The sequence below is a fragment of the Homo sapiens genome, chromosome 16, assembly GCF_000001405.40.
Source record: "Homo sapiens chromosome 16, GRCh38.p14 Primary Assembly".
Classification (NCBI taxonomy): Eukaryota; Metazoa; Chordata; class Mammalia; order Primates; family Hominidae; genus Homo; species Homo sapiens.
Window position 1 is genome coordinate 8,756,963 of NC_000016.10, and position 21,701 is coordinate 8,778,663.

The 21,701-nt window shown below is 49.1% G+C and overlaps 1 protein-coding gene across 24 annotated transcripts in view; it reads left to right on the plus strand.

Annotated features, from left to right (window-relative positions):
* ABAT (4-aminobutyrate aminotransferase) overlaps nt 1-21,701 on the plus strand; it is a 109,954-nt gene that overhangs the window by 82,346 nt on the left and 5,907 nt on the right. For 18 of the 24 annotated variants that reach the window (XM_047433688.1, NM_001386602.1, NM_001386615.1 and 15 more), the window contains 9 exons: nt 795-844; nt 7,107-7,187; nt 7,776-7,868; nt 9,246-9,308; nt 11,231-11,294; nt 11,863-12,011; nt 15,818-15,955; nt 17,928-18,095; nt 19,382-19,528. In XM_047433688.1, the coding sequence (XP_047289644.1) occupies nt 795-844; nt 7,107-7,187; nt 7,776-7,868; nt 9,246-9,308; nt 11,231-11,294; nt 11,863-12,011; nt 15,818-15,955; nt 17,928-18,095; nt 19,382-19,528 (953 nt within the window). The remainder of the gene's footprint in view (nt 1-794; nt 845-7,106; nt 7,188-7,775; nt 7,869-9,245; nt 9,309-11,230; nt 11,295-11,862; nt 12,012-15,817; nt 15,956-17,927; nt 18,096-19,381; nt 19,529-21,701) is intronic. The other 6 variants (NM_001386607.1, NM_001386612.1, NM_001386606.1 and 3 more) reach the window with 3 other exon arrangements.

Sequence of the window (21,701 nt, forward strand, 5' to 3'; positions counted from 1 at the left end):
GAAGGCAGGATGAGGCATGCGGGTCACAGATTGCAGGTGGCATCACTACTCGCTCAGTCTCTGAGCAAACATTTGTCGAGATTTGACTCAGCCCATGGGCGCTGGGAAGGAAGGTGAGGATCCTATCTGCAATCCAGCACTAGGGCCTGTTGAACCACACTCCCCAGCCAGCCCCAGGCTTGAAATTTTCTTGCATTTATCTCCCTTTTTATTTATTTATTTATTTAAATAGAGTCTCACTGTCACCCAGGCTGGAGTGCAGTGGCGTGATCTCAACTCAATGCAACCTCCGCCTCTTGTGTTCAAGAGATTCTTCTGCCTCAGCCCCCCGAGTACCTGGGATTACAGGCACGTGCTACCTCGCCCGGCTAATTTTTGTATTTTTAGTAGAGACGGGGATTCACCATGTTGGCCAGGCTGGTCTGGAACTCCTGACCTCAAGTGATCCACCCGCCTTGGCCTCCCGAAGTGCTGGGATTACAGGTGTGAGCCACCACACGTGGCGCATTTATCTCACCTTATGTTTATGTAGTCCAGTAGGTCTCAAATCTGAACAAGCATCAGAATCTCCTAGAGAATTTGTTGGATTTCTAGGCTGCCCCTTGAGAGATTCTGAGTCAGGGATGTTAGGTGGGGCCCCAGGAATCTCTTTTTGTCAACAAAGGATAAAAGACCCTTTGGTTTTTAAAGAGAGTTGGGGGGTTGGAAAGGAAGGGAGAGGGAAGGAGAGGTGGGAGGGGCATGGGGAACCCTTGGATGCAATGAGGTCTCTAACAATACTCTCCTGCCCTCAGGTTACAGCCACCCCGCCCTGCTGAAACTCATCCAACAGCCTCAAAATGCGGTAGGTCTTGGGGTTACACAGAAGAAAGACAAAATATGTTCATGGCCATTCACAGAATCACTGGGCAGACTTTGGCAATAGTCCTTTCATTCATTCATTCATTCCATAAATATGTATTGAGCCCATACTATGTGCCAGGTATGTGGCATGCCTTGATGAATGAAAACGCAGTGCCGACATTCCCACGGAGGCAGTCAATTAACCACACACATGAATAGAGAATTGCAACAATATTAAGTGCTACAGAGTAAGGTAGGCAGCGCTTTGTGGGCATAAAAGAATGATGCTAATAGTTAATGTTTATGGAGAGCATAATTTGTACCAAACACTGTGTTCAGCACTTTATAGCGACAATATTGACAAGTCTGTGAAGCAGGTACTTTTGTTATCCCCATTTTTCAGATGCAGAAACTGAGGCACAGAGTGGTTAAGTATTTGCCCGAGGTCACACAGCTAGTGGAGGCGCTGAGAATAAACCCACAGGAGCTGAGCTATTTGGGGATGGAGAGGGTGGGTGTCAGGGAGGCTTCCCAGGGAAATGACTTTTCAGCTGAGATCTGAAGGAGAGGAAGGTCTGGCAGGCCACGAGTCGGGAGGAATGGTCTCAGCAGAGAGAAGAGGGCAGCGGCAAGGGCAGCAGTGTGGCTGGAGCAGAGAGAGTGGGGAGGGACCCAAGGAGGACTGGAGTAGCAGCAGGGCACAGGGTTTTCAGACGCCACCTAGGCCAGGGGTTCAGAACTCTCACACTGTTGACATCCGTAGCCAGATAATTCTGTGTGGTGGGGGGCTGTCCTGTGCATTGAGACATTGAGCAGCATCCCAGGACTCTACCCACTAAATGCCAGTAGCAACTCTCTCCTGAGGTTGTGATAACCAAAAATGTCTGCAGACATGGCCAGATGTCCCCTGGTGGATACGGTAACCCCACGTGAGAACCCCTGCAATACATGACACCTGTCTCTATCCGAAGAGAGATAGAGAGCCATTGCACATTTATACTAAAGAATATGGCCAGGCACGGTGGCTCACGCCTGTAATCCCAGCACTTTGGGAGGCTGAGGCAGGCAGAGCACTTGAGGGAGGTCAGGAGTTCAAGACCAGCCTGGCCAGCATGGTGAAACCCCGTCTCTACTAAAAATACAACAGTTAGCCAGGTGTGGTGGTGTGAGCCTGTAATCTCAGCTACTTGGGAGGCTGAGGCAGGAGAATTGCTTGAACCCAGGAGGTGGAGGTTGCAGTGAGCTGAGATGGTGCCACTGCACTCCAGCTTGGGTGACAGAGGGAGACTTTATCCCAAAAAATAATAATAATAATAATAATAAATAAAAAGTACAACACCCATGCAGGCATGCATACAGCCTAAATGCACCACTCAATGAATTTCCCATGTAACCAAAGTTTCACAACTCTTTTTGTTATTGGAACATCCCTTAAGGAGCATTTTTAGACATTATTTTCCTAGTTGTTCCCTATCATGAAATTGAAATAGAAAAATACAGTACATATGGAGTGTATCTGTGTGTTGTATTTATGTCCGTGCTTTACATGGAACAGAGTAAAAAATTTTTTTTTTTTACTCCCACTGAGAATGCATGAGTTGTAATGAGGAATCAGAACATGCCCCCACCCAGTTATTATTCCTTCCAACCAAATTAAGTAGACCCCTCCCCTTACTTTTAACAGATTGCTGTATTTCTCCAGTTTTGTTTGCTTGTTTTTTTCTTGAGACAGAGTCTTGCTCTGCTGCCCAGGCTAGAGTGCAGGGGTGCAATCATGGCTCACTGCAGCCTCGACCTCCCAGGCTCAAGTGATCCTCCCACCTCAGCCTCCTGAGTAGCAGGGACTACAGGTGCCCACCACCATGCCCAGCTCATTTTTGGTTTTTTGTTGGTTTGTTTGTTGTTTTCTTTTGTTTTTGGTAGAGATGGGGTTTCACCATGTTGCCCAGGCTGGTCTCGAACTCCTGGGCTCAAGTAATCCTCCTGCCTCGGTCTCCCAAAGTCCTGGGATTACAGGCGTGAGCCACCACACCCAGTTGTATTTCTCCAGTTCTTTATTGCCATGTAAATGGAGTTTTGCAGTGTGTATCTTTACCTCGTCTGGCTTATTTCATTCAAAATTACGTCTGGGTGATTCCTCCTGGTGTGTGTAATCGCAGACTGTGTATCCTCATGGCTTTAGAGCGTTCCCCTCTGCGGATATCCTGCAATCCTACTGTCCGTGGGTATTTGCATAGCTCCAGTTCAGGGCTCTTATGAAGACCACTGCTGTGGACGTTCACGTGTGTGTGTTTTGCTGTACCCATTTATGTGTTTCTGTTAGATACGAAGCTTGGAGTAGAACTGCTGGCCATGTACAGCTCCTGCAGATCCTGCCAGACAGTTCTCCAAATCGATCGCACCAACTCCACTCCCACAGCCGGGGGAGGGTTCCAGTCTTGCCACATCCTCGCCAACACGGGGTATCACTGGAAGATTTTTCTTTGACTCAGAGAGTAACATACTTATCCACACATGACAAGGAACTTGATCCCAGAAAGAAATCTAAGAAAGGCAGAAGGAACAAAGACCCAATCCTGGTCAGAAAAGGGGTCCCTAGCCCTAAAACGTACTTCACTTTAAATAAACAGAGTTGGAGCTAATAGGAAAGAACCACATTTTCTTCTGTCTGAATGGGTGTGCCCCGCCTGGGAGGGGCCAGGGGACACTCTTGCCTCCGATTAGTTGAGAGGTTTAGGAGCTGCTGTATAGGGAACTGGTGTCCTCCTGAAGGTGTCTGATGAGGCCCACTGAGGCCGGAGGCTCCCGAATGTGTTTACATCTAAAGCCTGGCTTTGTTTTGAAATGTTGTGCGAATCCCAGATGCCTTGGCAGTTGGTGCTGAAAAAAAATGTGTCAACAAACACATCAGACACATTTGCAGTGTCAACCGCCTCCAGAGGCAGAAGCGTCCTCAACAACACACGACGTCAAGGCCCAGAGATTCCGGCTGCATGTGGTGGCTCACGCCTGTAATCTCAGCACTCTGGGAGGCTGAGGCAGAAGGATCCCTGAGGCCAAGAGTTGGAGACCAGCCTGGGCAACATATCGAGACCCTGTCTCTACGATAACTGTTTTTAAAAAATTAGCCAGGTGTGGTGGTGCATACCTGTAGTCCCAGCTACTCAGGAGGCTGAGGTGGGAGGATCGCTTGAGCCCAGGAAGTCATTGCAGTGAGCCGTGATCTCGCCACTGCACTCCAGCCTGGGTGACAGAGCGAGACCTTGCCTCTGAAACAAAACAAAACAAAACAAAAACATATCCCAGAAAACAAAGGCCCAGGGATTCTGATTTCAGGGACAGTACTACCCTGTCCCTGCCAGGAGCTTCCCCCACCTTCCCTATCCCCCCATCACCTTTCACCTCTCTCTGCCCTCTCACCTCGTCAGGGACTGGTCCTAACCCTCACATCTCCCACTTGGCTTTCTGCCAGCAACCTCTCCCCATCGATCCCTCCCACCTCCCTTCTCACCCCCTCCAAACCGTCCACCAAACTGTGCCGCGTGTGGAACCCTTCCCTGGTACTTACTGCCTTCCGGCTGTGTCCCAGTCTCCTCCACCTCAAATGCTAAGCCCTTGGAGGGCTGCCTCCCACTTTCTTCTTTAGCCTTATTACTTGACATTTGCTCATTCATTGGTTATTGACTGAATGCTTCCAATGTGCCAAGCACTCTTTTTGGTGCTGGGATTTGATGGTGAATCCACGTTCTCCGTCCCAGTCTGGGTTGGGTTGTTCTGCAGAGGAACTGGGTTTGAGGCCTGATGAAAAGAGCACCCTGACGCAGTCTTAGAGAGGTGGCAGCTGACCTCCACGGGCTAAAAGGTTTCCAGCAGGACATGCCCAGGGCAGTAGGCCGGGGCACCACTGGCTGACATCTTGGGTCTTCCGCATTTTTGGCTGGAGATGCACTCAGGTGGTGGCAATGGTATTCTGCTTGTACAGGGCAGGTTCCTGCCAGGTCACCAAAGTCCCAAGAAGGGGTTTATCAACCTTTTTGCACCCAAACCAAACCACCCTGAAACTCCACCATAATTACTTCATGTGACTTCCTAAAAATGAAACCATGTCCCTTAGATCTAATATCTGGATTCCAATTATGATTTCTTTTTTCTTCTTCTTTCTTCCTTCTTCTTCCTTCTCCTTCTCCTTCTCCTTCTTCTCCTTCTTCTTCTTTCTTCTTTCTCTCTCTGTCACCCAGGCTAGAGTGGAGTGGCTGGATCATAGTTCATTGCAGCCTCGAACTCCTGGACTCAAAAGATCCTCCCACCTCAGCCTCCTAAGTGACTGGGATTATAGGCGTGAGCCACTGTGCCCGACCTCCAGTTACTATTTCTTATGTCACCAGGCCCATCTCATTACATTGCCAACAAGTTATACAATAATCATGGACATTGCATGTGCACAGTCACATTGCAATGAATGCACATAGCACAGCAGGCCTGACCAAGTAAGACACCTGCCATCCTATGACCTCTGGGTCTTTCCCTCTGCATAACTCTTCCTTTGAGACTGAACTCCTGCATCCTCTGTATGCCATATCATCTCACTGGCTTCTTACAAGCACCTAGTGAAGAGTCTCCAGTTTGGCAGATGAGAAACCCAAAGCTCAGAGAGGTTAAGTGAGTTGCCCAAGGTTGCACAGCCACTTAAGCCAAAGCCAATTATCTTCATGCTGTACCCTAAGCCTGTTGAGCTGACTGCAAGGGTTTAGAAAGCTATCCTCATTTGATCCTGATACCCAATGTCCCAGATATCTTCTGTTCTTAATGTCACGCTTTCTCGAGCAAGAACATCACCCCCACGTCGTTCCTAGACCCAGACGGCTGTCAAGCTGCCAGCCAGCCCTACCCTTCTGGGAGCCATTTCCCTGCTGCTAGTGAGGGCCAGCTTGCTTCCACCCTATTCTCATGATGTGATTTCTTAGGAGCCCCACTAACAGGTCAGAGCCAGAAGGAAATGTTCCTTAAAGTCCCCTCCAAGGTTGGGCACAGTGGCTCACACTTGTAATCCCAGCACTTTGGGAGGCTGAGGCAGGCAGATCACTTGAGTCCAAGAGTTCAAGACCAGCCTGGGCAACATGGCGAAACCCTGTCTCTATAAAAAAATACAAAAAATTAGCTGGGTGCGGTGGCATGTGCCTGTAGTCCCAGCTACTTGGAAGGCTGAGGTGGGAGGATCACTTGAGTCTCGGAGGTTGAGGCTGCAGTAAGCTGATATCACGCTACTGCACTCCAACCTGAGAGAGCAAGACCCTGTAACAAAAAAAAAAAAAAAAAAGCCCTTCCAGGCAAGCCAAGGTCTCTGGGTTGTGCCAAGCATGAGCATTTTCGGGCAGAGGCTACCTGGAGTATCTGACAGAGAGTGGCATCTAAAGTCAGTAAACCTAGATCCGAGTTGTGGTTCTGCCCCTTCTTGGCTGTGTGACTTGGGGCAAGTTGCTTGACCTCTCTGGTCCTCAGTTCCCCCAACTCTACAATGAGGACAATTAACTTCCCTCACTACTTATCCTAGACCCAACTGAGTGATCGTGAAGCAGAAAAAGCAAGAGGTAGGAATCTGCCAGTTTCTAGCAGCACAAGTCAAGTCCTAAAGCTACTGGGAGAATCATCTCTGGGAACCCCTCTGCCCTTAGGGTGTCCTATACAGTGATGCTGGTTTTTGGATTTGCACTGAGTGCATTACACTGATTTTGCCCAAGACACTCTTTCTCTACTCCAAAAGTCCCTTTTTGTATTTTTAGCAGAGAAAAGGTTTCACCATGTTGGCCAGGCTGGTCTCGAACTCCTGGCCTCAAGCAATCCATCCGCCTCGGCCTCCCAAAATGCAGGGATTACAGGCGTGAGGCACTGCACTCTGCCTGTTTTTTAGCCATTCTGATGGTTAAATATATAAAGAAAGAGACTCACGGGAAGTTGCAAAAACCAGTACAAAGAGCCCCATGTACGCTTCGCTCAGTTTTCCCCAGCGGCAGTAGCATCCTATATAACGCCAATGCAATATGGCAACCAGGACACTGACCCTTTTTTAAAACATCCACAGCAATCCTAGTGGATTTCTCTAAAGGTTTAAGGAAACCGGCCATGCCCCACGCTGACAGAACGTCATCATCCTGCAACCCCATTTGGAGGCTATTTGAACACAGGGGCTATGAAAAGCACCATTTGTGGGCAGGGAGCTGGGTCAGGCCCCCAGAAGTCACCATTTGTCTCTTGCCCTTTTGCAGAGCATGTTTGTCAACAGACCCGCCCTCGGAATCCTGCCTCCGGAGAACTTTGTGGAGAAGCTCCGGCAGTCCTTGCTCTCGGTGAGTTCTGGAGAAGCAATCCCATTGTCTTCAGACGTGGTACTGGCAGGGGAAGGGAAAAGTGGAGACGCCAACAATGAAGAATAAGGTGTTGCTACAGAAATCTTTCTCTCTGAGCTTATTCTTCCATGCAGAGTATTTTAAATTTTTCTTTTAAAGGACAGAAGGGATTCTTTGTGTGCAGGACAAAAGGAGCTGGGGAAATGAATATGTGTCGCATGATAGGAGCCTTGCATATGTCATTCAATCCTGCCCCCACTTCTCGGTTTTAGTTACTACAAACGATTAAAGCCATTGGGAGCCTCAACGTCCCGCCTGGAACGTGTAGGTGTCTTAGACAGTGGCAGGTGCATCAGGAGTGGGCTTTTGCCCCCCTTCTTTCCTCTCTGCCAGCCTCAGGGCCTCCCTGGGCTTCTCCGCCACCCCTGGAAAAGCCTGAGCCCACCCTCCCAGTCCGACACCTTCCAGGACAGCCCTGGTTCTGTCTGTCCCCGGTACGGCCCCTGCGAAGATTCAGCTCCAGCCAGGGGAAGCGGGAGGACAGGAGTCATGATGAGCCTGGGCTCACGGCTATTTCCCTCCCCACAGGTGGCTCCCAAAGGGATGTCCCAGCTCATCACCATGGCCTGCGGCTCCTGCTCCAATGAAAACGCCTTAAAGACCATCTTCATGTGGTACCGGGTGAGGTTTGGGGCACACACACACACACACACACAGGCTCCCCAGCACCCAGCCACACGCTCACCCCTTGTCTGACTGTTCATTCCAATGGGCTGGAGTATTAGACATCAGTACCAGGGTTAAAATACAGGGAGGGCCACTGCTGGATGGTACTTTGAGACGGCACAGTGGGGTATGGTGCAGAGGGCTGAGGCTTTGGCATCAAAACTATGCAATGGGGGCTGGGCGCAGTCGTTCACACCTGTAATCCCAACACTCTGAGAGGCAAAGGCGGGCAGATCACTTGAGCCCAGGAGCTCGAGACCAGCCTGGGCAACATGACGAAACCCCATCTCTACTAAAAAAAAATTCAAAAATTGGCCAGGCATGGTGACGCATGCCTGTAGTCCCAACTATTCTGGAGGCTGAGGTGGAAGGATTGCTTGAGCCTGGGAGGTCAAGGCTGCAGTGAGCCATGGTTGTGCCACTGCATTTCAGCCTGGGTGACAGAGTAAGACCCTGTCTCAAAAAAAAAAAAAGAAGAAGAAAATGCTCCTTAAATTCCCCTCCAAGGTTGGGCACAGTGGCTCACACTTGTAATCCCAGCACTTCGGGAGGCTGAGGCAGGCAGATCACTTGAGTCCAAGAGTTCAAGACCAGCCTGGGCAACATGGTGAAACCCCGTCTCTATAAAATATACAAAAAATTAGCTGGGTGCGGTGGTGCCTGCCTGTTGTCCCAGCTACTTGGAAGGCTGAGGTGGGAGGATCACTTGAGCCTGGGAGGTCGAGGCTGCAGTTAGCTGATATCATGCTACTGCACTCCAACCTGAGAGACACAGCAAGAGCAAGGAGCAAGACCCTGTAAAAAAACAAAAACAGAAACGAAAACAAAAACAAAAAAAACCCTTCCAGGCAAGCCAAGGTCTCTGGGTTGTGCCTCTAGGTTATTTTATTTAAATATTTAAATTTAAATTTATTTAAATATTCTAAATTGCAGAGACAGAGTCCCACTTTGTTGCCCAGCATGGTCTCAAACTCTTGGCCTCAAGCAATCCTCCTGTCTTAGCCACCCAAAGTACTAGGATTACAGATTTGAGCCCGCACATCTGGCCTCCATTCTTCCTGGCAAAACATGCAACGCTCTCAGCAGATCTTAATCCAACAGATCTTAATCGTTGCTGATGGTGCTTAATGCATTATGTGTGTTAGTTTCTTTTGTTGCGAGCACAGTTGGTAGCCTCACGTTTCAGTACAGACCTGCAACAATTAATACATGAGATCCACTCCTGAGAAAGCACTTTCTACTTGTCTGGACTGAATATCGGTTTGGTTGGAAAGATGAAGCCCCGACTACCCCAGAGCATCTCTGAGATTTTGTTCTGTTCTATTGTTTCAGAGCAAGGAAAGAGGGCAGAGGGGCTTCTCCCAGGAGGAGCTGGAGACGTGCATGATTAACCAGGTGAGTGCAGCTGGGCTTGCACCACGTACATCTGGGGAAGCTGCACAGCCTCTCCCGGGCTGTTGCTGGCTGGCTGGCACTGTCCTCAATTAGGAAGGGCCAGGCCAGGCGCGGTGGCTCATGCCTGTAATCCCAGCACTTTGGGAGGCCAAGGCAGGCGGATCACCCAAGGTCAGGAGTTCAAGACCAGCCTGGCTAATATGGTGAAACCCCATCTCTACTAAAAAGACAAAAATTACCCGGGCATAGTGGCACATGCATGTAATCCCAGCTACTTGGGAGGCTGAGGCAGGAGAATCATTTGAACCCAGGAGGTGGAGGTTGCAGTGAGCCGAGATCACACCACTACACTCCAGCCTGGGTGACAGAGTGAGACTCCTCTCAAAACAAACAAAAAAACAAAAACAAAAACAAAAGGCCGGCTGCTGTGGTTCACGCCTGTAATCCCAGCACTTTGGGAGGCCGAGGCGGGTGGATCTCCCGAGGTCAGGAGTTCCAGACCAGCCTGGCCAATATGGCGAAACCCTGTCTCTACTAAAAATACAAAAATTAGCCAGATGTGGTGGCGGGTACCTGTAATTCCAGCTACTCGGGAGGCTGAGGCAGGAGAATCGCTTGAACCCGACGGGCGCGGAGGTTGCAGTAGGCCGAGATCTCACCACTGCACTCCAGCCTGGCGACAGAGCAAGACTCCATCTCAAAAACAAAACAAAACAAAAAAAGTACAAGAGGGTTTCTGGAATCTGTGGGAGGAGTTCTTAGGGTTTTTCCCAGAGGTCTCAGGGAATTGGTGCTCAACCAGCCTGAGACAATGCCAACCTCCTTGAGACTTGGGGGCCCCCACAGTTCCCTCTGAGGCACCTCCAGCAGTTCTGCCTGAATCAGCTGGAAACATGTTTGGATTCCCTTGCTGGGTGAAGAGTCAGAAAACAATGCAAGGAGTTGCAGCTGTGCCATTTGCTTGGGGCTGGAAAGGGACAGGGCGTCCATGCACCCCTCCTGAACCCAAGGCGCAGCTGCCATGGGAGAGTGCCCGGAGAGGGGCTCCCCTCACCCGCTTTCTAGCACCACAGACCCCTTCCAAAGGCCTGGGGGTTTTCCTGCAAGGTGCCCAGCTCGGCCCCTTGCCTTGGTCACCCTGGGATGCAGGCGTGCACCCATCAGCACCTGACCCGCCTGACACCTGAGGAGGCCTGAGTAGTAGGGAGCCAGGGGATGGGGAGGAAGTTGAAGAGCCTGTAGAAAAGGGGCTGAAAACCCAGGAGTCCCCAGCAGCTGGAGGTAGGCGGGCAGTGGGTACTGCTTGGCCACTTACAGCTGCCACAGGAGGAAAATGGGTCCAAACAGTGCAGCACTGGTGAGAAGCCAGAAGTTCAGGTCTCTATGTGAAATTTCTTAGTTTTAAATTTTGCAACTTGTTTTGAGACAGAGTCTCGCTCTTGTTGACCAGGCTGGGGTGCAGTGGCGCGAACTCGGCTCACTGCAACCTCTGTCTCCCGGGTTCAAGCGATTCTCCTGTCTCAGCCTCCCAAGTAGCTAGGATTACAGGCCCCCACCACCATGCCTGTCTAATTTTTGTATTTTTAGTAGAGACGGGGTTTCACCATGTTGGCCAGGCTGATCCCAAACTCCTGACCTCCGATGATCCGCCTGCCTCAGCCTTCCAAAGTGCTGGGATTACAGGTGTGAGCCACCACACCCAGCCTAAAATTTGTGACTTAAAAAAAAAAAAATGTAAGTATGTATGCAAATAAAACGTGTGTCTTGGATATAGACCCCATTGGTCCCATGGGTAACTTTTGCCTGAGAAGGATTCCTGGTTCTTCTGATAGATTTCTGTGTCCCTCTGGACTTGCAGGGGCAACAATACAGTTCCCCCATCCTTACAACTATGACTAATGACTGATATTTCTTGGTTTTAGGCCCCTGGCTGCCCCGACTACAGCATCCTCTCCTTCATGGGCGCGTTCCATGGGAGGACCATGGGTAAGGAGGGACCATTGCGCTCCCAAGGTGGCGTTTAGAATAGTAATAATAACGGCAACAATAGCGGCGGCTGACATTAGCAGTTTACACATATTGTCCCACTGATTGCACACAATCCCACTGCAGAGTGGGGATTATTATTCCTGCTTTGCAGATGGGGGAATCAGTGTTCAGGAAGAGGAAGAATTTCCAAGGCTATTCAGTGACAGAGCCGGGACTGGAACTCTTGACTCTGTCTTCAAAGCCTGCGCTGCATCTGTGATTAATCGCAATGCAAACACATACCCACGCACGCATGCCAATTAAGGGTTCGAGAGTCCCCCTTCAGCTTCCGGATGAGAACTGGGGTTCAGTATCAAAACATCTCATGTACTCCCCAAGTATATACACCTCCTATGCACCCAGAAAAATTAAAAATTAAACGATAAAAAGAACTGGGGTTTCACAGGCAACAGGCCTCCCTGCCCACTGACAGCCTTGCGCTGAAATGTCTATCATCTCCTTTACAAAGACGGTACTGCCTGCTTCCCCAAGCCAAGCGTCTGCTTTTCTGTTTTGCTGAACTCAGGTTGCTTAGCGACCACGCACTCTAAAGCCATTCACAAGATCGACATCCCTTCCTTTGACTGGCCCATCGCACCGTTCCCACGGCTGAAATACCCTCTGGAAGAGTTTGTGAAAGAGAACCAACAGGAGGAGGCCCGCTGTCTGGAAGAGGTAATGCTCATACCCTGCGGATCCTCCCCAACCACCAGTCCTGTTGCTCTTGCCGCCCCAAGACTTGGGGAGAAGAGAAACAGATGAAGGGTTTATCTGGGGATCTGTGCAGTGCTCCCCCAGAGGGAAGCAGGGACACAGAGGCCTTGCGTCCCAAATGTTCTATGTTGGGAGAGTTCGTGAGACACACTGTTTCTGTCACAGCATCCATCACCCAACTCTGATACCAATTTCTGTATCACTTAAGTTTCTTGGAAGACAAGAGTCAATGACTCTAAAATAAGAGAAAACAGATCAGTTGAAAGAATATGGGGCTGGGCACGGTGGCTCCGCCTGTAATCCCAGCACTTTGGGAGGCTGAGACGGGAGGATCACCTGAGGCCAGGAGTTCGAGACCAGCCTGGCCAACATGGTGAAACCCCATCTCTACTAAAAATTAGCTGGGTGTGGTGGCACATGCCTGTAATCCCAGCTACTAGGGAGGCTGAGGCACAAGAATCCCTTGGACCCGGGAGGCAGAGGTTGCAATGAGCCAAGATTGCACCACTGCACTCCAGCCTGGGTAACGGAGTGAGACTCTGTCCAAAAAAAAAAAAAAAAAAAAAAGAGAGAGAGAGAAAGAAAGAATATGGGATATCCCACAGGAAAAAATGGTTCCACAAGATCCTCTAAACCACTGGTTTTGTCTTCTCCTGAGTCTTGGGGCTTTGAGTTGCTGTGGGTCGGGGGATGCTATGGGAGAGGCTGAGGACAGGCAGCACCCCCCTACCCCCCGTTTCCACGTCATCTAACACAGCCCTCTTTAGATCCACTCAGTATATGGGGGTTCCAGGGAAGACATTGGAAGTAATCTGCAGCTGGAAAAAAATATCACTGTTTGGGTATAGATTTGAACTCAAATAAGGCTGCTGGTTTTTTTCTTAGGCACATCATCATTTTCAATCAGTTCATATTTATTGAGCACCTACTAGATGTCAAGCAAGGTGCTAGGTGCTGGGTATTCAGTGGTAAATAGAAAAGACAAGATAATGGCATCAAGTACAGCACTGTCCAATAGAAATATAATGCAAGCCACATATGTAATTATAGCTTTTCCAGTAGTCACCTTTTCTTTCATTTTTACACCCTGCCTGGAAACTGCCAAGGAGTCACATTTGCTTTGTTTTGTTTTGCTTTGTTTTTGAGATGGAGTCTAGCTCTGTTGCCCAGGCTGGAGTGCAGTGGCGCGATCTCAGCTCACTGCAAGCTCCGCCTCCTGGGTTCATGCCATTTTCCTGCCTCAGCTTCCTGAGTAGCTGGGACTACAGGCGCTTGACACCACACCCGGCTAATTTTTTGTATTTTTAATAGAGACAGGGTTTCACCGTGTTAGCCAGGATGGTCTCGATCTCCTGACCTTGTGATCCGCCCGCCTCGGCCTCCCAAAGTGCTGGGATTACAGGTGTGAGCCACCGCGCCGGCCTTCTTTTCTTTTGTTTTGTTTGAGACAGGGTCTCACTCTGTCACCCAGGCTGGAGTGCAGTGGTGCAATCACAGCTCACTGCAGTCTCGACCTCTCTGGGCTCAGGTGATCCTCCCACCTCAGCTTCTTGAGTAGTTGGAACTAAGGCACATGACACCACCACACCTGGCTAATTTTTGTATTTTTTGCAGAAACAGGTTTTGCCGTGTTGCCCAGGTTGGTCTCAAACTCCTGGGCCCAAGTGGTCTGCCCACTTCGGCTTCCCAAATTGCTGGGATTACAGGTGTGAGCCACCGTGCGTGGCCAGGAGTCACGTTTTTTAAAATTACAAAGAAATAGGTGAAATTCATTTTCAGAGCATTTTATTGAACCGAATATATTCAAAATATTATCACGTAAATGTGTAATTAGTATTTTTAAACAATGTGATTTTTATATTCCTTTTTAAAAATTCCTTTATTTTAAAAATTCATTTATTTAGGTCTAAACAAACTAAGATAGTCCTTTTCTTCGTATTCAGTTTTTGAAACACTGTGTGTATTTTACACTTACAGCACAATGCTCTAAAAACAAAGAAAAACCGGGCGCGGTGGCTCATGCCTGTAACTGCGACACTTTGGGAGGTTGAGGCGGGCAGATCACCTGAGGTCAGGAGTTCAAGAGCAGCCTGACTAACATGGAGAAACCCCATCTCTACTAAAAATACAAAATTAGCCGGGCATGGTGGTGCATGCCTGTAATCCCAGCTACTCCAGAGGCCGAAGCAGGAGAATCACTTGAACCCGGGAGGTGGTGGTTGCGGTGAGCTGAGATTGCGCTATTGCACTCCAGCCTGGGCAACAAGAGTAAAACTCCATCTCAAAAAAAAAAAAAAGAAAACCAAGAAAAGTATCTCAGAGCTTCCTTGGGGTGACTGGTGGAGACCAAGGTCAAAATCATATCACCCAAACAGAGGCTTTTTCTTAATTGTACATAATAAAGAAAGCTTTCACTTGTTAGTCTATCTAGGTGTACGGTTTAGGGTTTTTCTTTCTTTTTTTTTTTTTTTTGAGACAGAGTTTCACTCTCTTGCCCAGGCTGGGGTGCAGTGGCACGATATCTCGGCTCATTGCAACTTCTACCTCCTGGGTTCAAGCGATTCTCGTGCCTCAGCCACTGGAGTAGCTGGGAGTACAGGCGTGAGCCACCATGCCCAACTAATTTTTGTATTTTTAGTAGAGATGGGGTTTCACCATGGTAGCCAGGCTGGTCTGGAACTCCTGACCTCAGGTGATCTGCTCGCCTTAGCCTCCCAAAGTGCTAGGATTACAGGTGTGAGCCACCATGCCCAGCCTCTTTCTTTTTAACAAAGACAGGATCTTGCTGTGTTGCACAGGCTGGAGTGCAGTGGTGTGGTCATAGCTCACTGCGATCTCACAGTCCTGGTTCAAGGGGTCCTCCCACCTCAGCCTCTCAAGTAGCTGAGACTACAGGCACGCAGCCACCATGCCCAGCTAATTTCTAAATGTTTTGCAGACATGAACCGCGCTATGTTGCACAGGCTGGTCTCAAACTCCTGGCCTCAAGGTATCCTCCTGCCTCAGCCACCCAAAGTGCTGGGATTGCAGGTGTGAGCCACCACACCTGGCCCTTAGAACAGTTTTTTAACCGAGGATATATCTCCGATTCTGCCCCAAAAGGATTCTCACACCAATCATAGCAATAATACTGTAAGAATAGGAACAATAATAATCAATAATAATATAGTCGTGCTAATCGTAATAGTAGCAGCCACCACTTTATGTGTGCCAGACTCTGCTGTATTTTCTCTCTGTCTCTGTGTGTGTGTGTGTGTGTGTGTGTGTGTGTGTGTGTGTGTGTGTGTGTGTGAATGCTCTCACCTTTATTTCTCTCAATATACCCGTGATGTAGCTATTTCCCACATAACAAGGTTAAGTGACAGGTGCATGTTCCATGTAAAACAGAGGCAGAACCACAGCTAAAACATCTGGCCCAGCAATCAACTCATAGTGCTATATTTTCTCATTCAGTCCTCTCCACGACCCTGGAAGGTGGATTCTGTCAGTGTGCCCATACAACACATCAGGAAAGTGAGGCTTCTGAAGCTAAATTACTTGCCCCAATTTATTAGTTTGTATCCACCCAGGTGCTAGCACCGATTTCAAGTAGGATACATTCCCATCCACACACATAGCTTCTAACAGAGGCTTCACTGGTCTTAGGAAATGCACACAAACACATTTCCAATAAAATTGCATGGGGCTCATCGAACCCCAGATTCCCACCCACGGATACTGGTCACAAGCCTCTGCCATCGGTGGTCACTTTCCCCTTTGGGATCCAGGTGGAGGATCTGATTGTGAAATATCGGAAAAAGAAGAAGACGGTGGCCGGGATCATCGTGGAGCCCATCCAGTCCGAGGGTGGAGACAACCACGCATCCGATGACTTCTTTCGGAAGCTGAGAGACATCGCCAGGAAGGTCAGTGGACAGGGCCGAGGTTGGATGGAGCCATTGGGTTTTCTGGGTTGAGTTCCCCGAGTAACGGGCCAGCAGCACCTCTGCCTTGGAGCTTCTGTCAATCTCCAGACTTGCAGAGGCTGTCTGTCAGCATCAGGGGTGGAGAAGTTGGGGTTGGTGAAAGAATGGGGATTCTTCCCTAAAACTATACACACACACACACACACACACACACACACACACACACACACATATATATATATTTTTTTTTTTGAGACAGAGTCTCACTCTGTTACCCAGGCTGGAGTGCAGTGGTGCAATCTCAGCTCACTGCAACCCCTACCTCCCAGGTTCAAGTGATTCTCCTACCTCAGCCTCCCGAGTAGCTGGGACTACAGGCACACGTCACCATACCCAACTAATTTTTGTATTTCTAACAGAGACGAGATTTCGCCATGTTGGCCAGGCTGGTCTTGAACTCCTGACCTCAGGTGATCTGCACACCTCAGCCTCCCAAAGTGCTGGGATTACAGGCCTGAGCCACCACACTTGGCCTTAAAATCTTTTTAAAAAACCTTTTTGGATACATAATAGTTGCAGTGCGTAATGATCAAATCTGGGTAATTGGATATCCATCACCTAAAATATTTATCATCTCTTTGTATTGGGAATATTCCAAATCCACTCCTATTTTGAACTATGCAATAAATTATTAACTAAAATCACCCTATTGTGCTACTGGACACTAGATCTTATTCTTCTATCTAACTGTACTTTTGTATCCATTAACCAACCCCTATTTATCTCCACCTCCCCATTAGCCTTGCCAGCCTCTGATAGGCGTCATTCGACTCTATTTCTTCATAAGGGAAGTGTTTTTAGTTCCCACCTGAGTGAGAACATGCAATATTTGTGTATGTGTGGCTTATGTCACTTAACATAATGTCCTGTAGTTCCATCCACGTCATTGCTAATGACATAATTTCATTCTTTTTATGGCTGAATAGTATTTCTTTGTGTATATGTACCATATTTTCTTTTTCTTTTTTTTTGAGACAGTCTCACTCTGTTGCCCAGGCTGGAGTGCAGTGGCACGATCTTGGCTCACTGTAACCTCTGCCTCCTGGGTCCAAGTGATTCTCCTGCCTCAGTCTCCCAAGTAGCTGAGATTACAGGTGCACGACACCATGCCCAGCTAATTTTTGTATTTTCAGTAGAGACGGGGTTTCGCCATGTTGGCCAGGCTGATTGGCTCAGACTCCTGGCCTTGGGTGATTTGCCCGCCTCAGCCTCCCAAAGTGCTGGAATTACAGGTGAGAGCCACCGCGCCTTGCCGAGTGTGTATATGTACCATATTTACTTTATCCATTCATCCATCGATGGACAGATTGATTCTGTATCTCGGCTATTGTGAACAGTGCTGCAATAAACATGGGAGTGCAGGTATCTCTTTGACACACTGATTTGCTTTCTTTATATTGTGTGTTTGTTTTAATGTCTTGTGCATATATAACTGGCAATCAAACCGATAAGTTCACAGATAAAAGTTATAAGACGTGAGTTGACTTAACACAGATGCTGAGTTAGAAATAGCCTTGGTGACAAGCAGAACATGGCAGCTGAAGTTTGAGAAGCACATTCGAGGCCTCACTGTTGGACACAGCTCCCTCTGACGAGGTCGAGACCCGAGACTGAAGCCAGATGACATACCGCTCTGTGTTGGTGCAGGGAGTATTTAATGTTCTGGGTTTTTTTGGTCCAGCTTAGCAGTTTTAGGAAACACTCAGATTCAGCTCTGGTTGGAACTGCTCAGCTTAAGTGTTTTGATTAGTTTTTTTTGTGCACAGCTCAAGAACATGGGGCTGGTTTGCTCTTCAGAAAACAAGCACGATGTGTGTGGACCCAGGGTTTGGCAGTTAGCTGGCTATGGAGGGCATGAATTTCTGGCCTCCCACGGGTGTTTATTTCTCCCTCCTCTCTCTTCTCCGGCCAGCATGGCTGCGCCTTCTTGGTGGACGAGGTCCAGACCGGAGGAGGCTGCACGGGCAAGTTCTGGGCCCATGAGCACTGGGGCCTGGATGACCCAGCAGACGTGATGACCTTCAGCAAGAAGATGATGACTGGGGGCTTCTTCCACAAGGAGGAGTTCAGGCCTAATGCTGTGAGTTGGAGCCAACCTTCTCTCTACATCCAGGGCAGAGAAGGGAGCATCCTCTTCTCCTAACTGTTCCTTTCTCACCATCGAGGAGCTGGGTGGGCACTTACTGGGTCGCAGGTTTTCTAAGTCCCAGTTCTTATCAATGCAATTAGCAGTGGTGTGCCCTCCCAGCTCTCTCTGTAAGGCCAACTCTGGAACAGTCCACCATCAGCCTTTTCCTGTTTTCTCTCTGTGTGCACACACAATAATATCATCGACAGCTGCCGCAGCAGACTGAGCATTTGCTATGTGCCTAGTTCTAAGTATTTCTCATATACTTTTAATCCTGAGAACAATCTAACCAAGTAGCTGTTATTTTTATCCTCATTTGACTAATGAGGAATCAGGCACAGAGAGGTTAAGTAATTTGTCAAAGGTCACACAGCCTGTTAAGTGACAAAGCCAGGATTCCAACCCAGAGCCCATACTCTTACCCACTACACTGTGTACTGCCATGTGTGCATACAGATTTACACACACACACACACACAGCCATCAGGGGCCAACGTCCTTTCACCATTCCTACATGTAGTTTCTACCCTCAAGGTTGCCTCATGGTCCAAAATGGCTTCTGATGCTCCAGCCATCACATCTCAATTCTAGGCAGTAGGAAAGAAAAAGAAGGGAAGGACAAAGTGGCCCCCTTCTTGTCTTTAGCAGCCTTTCTAGAAATCTCACATAATATGTCTATTTCCAATACTTGACTAAGACCCAGTCACATGGCCACTTCTAGCCATAAGGGAGGCTGGGAAGGGTGTTTCAGTTAGCCGCATGGCCACCCTAAATCATTCATGGAGGGGTAAAGTGGATGATCTTTGAGGGTCACTGCCAGCAATCCAGTCCCAACTCCATCTGTAAGTCACGTTTGCCTTAGACAAATCACTTAGCCTCCCAGAACCTCAGCTTCCTCCTGTATAAAATGAGGGTTATAGGAGTTAAGGAACTGACTGTCTTGGTTTCCTGGGACTGAGGGATTTCCCAGTGCATGGGACGATTTGGTCCTCCCCATAGCAGTTCCTACATGCAGGGCTGCTGTTGGAAGAATTCAGCAAGATTGGGTGTGTTCTCCTGCTAGCCTCTGGTAGAGAAGAATTCAGCGAGATTGGGTGTGTTCCCCTGCCAGCCTCTGGTAGATGCCCACTAGATTAGTTTCTCTCCTCTTCAAGAGAGGAGGCGGGGCGCCTGGGGTAAGTGACTCCTGCAGGGTGTGCATGTGTGTGAAGCCTTCCAACACCCGTTCCTCATTCCAGCCCTACCGGATCTTCAACACCTGGCTGGGGGACCCGTCCAAGAACCTGTTGCTGGCTGAGGTCATCAACATCATCAAGCGGGAGGACCTGCTAAATAATGCAGCCCATGCCGGGAAGGCCCTGCTCACAGGACTGCTGGACCTCCAGGTAACACCCCCTCCCCTGCCCCGCCCCCACCACCCATGGCTCCCCGCAGCAGCCTCCGGGGCAACACTGGAGCTCTTCGGCATGGTGTTGTGCCTGCTGTTCCAGCAGTTCGTAACGGGCTGTGCTGCTCCTAGCCTTGGGGGCTTTGCACATGCTGTGTCCTCTGCAGGGGATGCCTCCCTATCCCTCCATCCCATTCCAACCCCTATTCCTGAACTCCTGGTTTTCTTTGTTGTTGTTTTTTTTAATTTATTTTTTATTTTTTTAATATTGAGACATGGTCAAGCTCTGTTAGCCAGTCCGGCCTTGAACTCCTGGCCTCAAACGATCCTTCCACCTCAGCCTCCCAAAGTGCTGGGCAGCGCCTGCCGGCACTGGTTATCTTTCTTATTTATTTTATTTTATTTTATTTGTCTATTTATTTTTTGAGACCAAGTCTTGCTTTGTACCCAGGCTGGAGTGCAGTGGCGCAATCTCAGCTCACCGCAACCGCTGCCTCCTGGGTTCAGGAGATTCTCCGGCCTCAGCCTCCCAAGTAGCTGGGATTACGGGCATGTGCCGTTATGCCCTACTAATTTTTTTGTATTTTGAATAGAGACAGGGTTTCACCATGTTGGCCAGGCTGGTCTCGAACCCCCGACCTCAGGTGATCCGCTTGCCTCAGCCTCCCAAAGTGCTGGGATTTCACGAGCATGGGCCACCGTGCCCGGCCCTGGTTATCTTTTGACACCAATTTCAGACATCCCCCCTTTGAGAGTCCCCCAAGCACTCCCTCTCTCACCCCCTCTAGTGTGTTCATTATTCCCGCCTTTGTGCAACCTGTTGCATACTTACCACTCGGCAGCACTGCCCTCCCCTGCTGGAGCTGGATTACTCTCTACCCTCAAGGTTTCGTCATGGGCCAAAATGGCTCCTGGAGCTCCAGCCATCGCATCTCAATTCCAGGCAATAGGAAGGAAAAAGAAGGGAAGGACAGAGTGGCCCCCTTCTTGTCTTTAGCAGCCTTCCCAGAAATCTCACATAATACTTCTAACACTTGATTAAGAGCTGGTCACGTGGTCACTCCTAACCGTAAGGACGTGTGGGGATGTGTGTGTGTGAGTGTGGCAGGCAGGCCTAAAGGGGTGTCTAAATGGAAGAGACTTTAATCTAAACCATCCCAGGGCCACACTCTGTGGGAGAGGGAGGGGTGTGTTCAAACTGCCAGCTCCCCAGCAATTGACAAGTGCAAGGAACATGCTAGAGTAAGTGCTGGAAGGACTTCTGAGCCTCAGTTTCCTTATCTGTGTAGACCAAAGTGAGCCCTTCTTCACTGGCAGGGGATTCAAGAATGTGCCCACTGCCAGGCACAGGGGCTCATGCCTGTAACCCCAGTACTTAGGGAGGCAGAAGCAGGAGGATTGCCTTCAGCTCAACTGAGTTTGAGACCAGCCCGGGCAACATGGTGAGAACCCATACTCCACAAAAAGAAACAAATTGTGCACATAAGTGTCTAACACGGTGCCCGGCTCTGTCACCCCCAGAATAGGACCATGTCTCCAGTTTCTACCAATGAGCTGCCGTGAAATAAGACTTGCTCCCCCAACTCAGCCCCCAGTACCCTGAAATTATTTGGGGTTTTCCAAGCCCTTGTTTGCTGTCCTTCATATGGACAGCAGAGAGTAAGGTGAAATCAAGGTCCTCCAGACTAGGCACCTGCATTTGTTTCCTTGTCTGCTGTAAAAAATCACCACAAACTGTGTGGGTTAAAACAAGAATTTATTCTCTCACAGTTTGGAGGCCAGGGTCTGAAATCAAGGTTTCAGCAGAGTTGGCTCCTTCTCGAGGCTCTGGGGGAGAATCTGTTCCATGCCCCTCTCCACCTTCTCGTGGCTGCCGGGAATCCTTCATGTTCCTTGACGTGTGGAGGCTTCACTCTGCTTCTGGCGTCACTTGGTGTTCTCCCCACTGTGCCTGTGTCTGTCTCCAGATTGTCTTCTTCTTATAAAGATACCAGTCATTGAGCCGGGCGCTGTGGCTCACACCTGTAATCCCAGCACTTTGGGAGGCCAAGGCAGGTGGATCACTTGAGGTCAGGAGTTCGAAACCAGCCTGGCCTACATTGTGAAACCAGTTTCTACTAAAACTACAAAAAAAAGTTAGCCAGGTGTGATGGCAGGTGCCTGTAATCCCA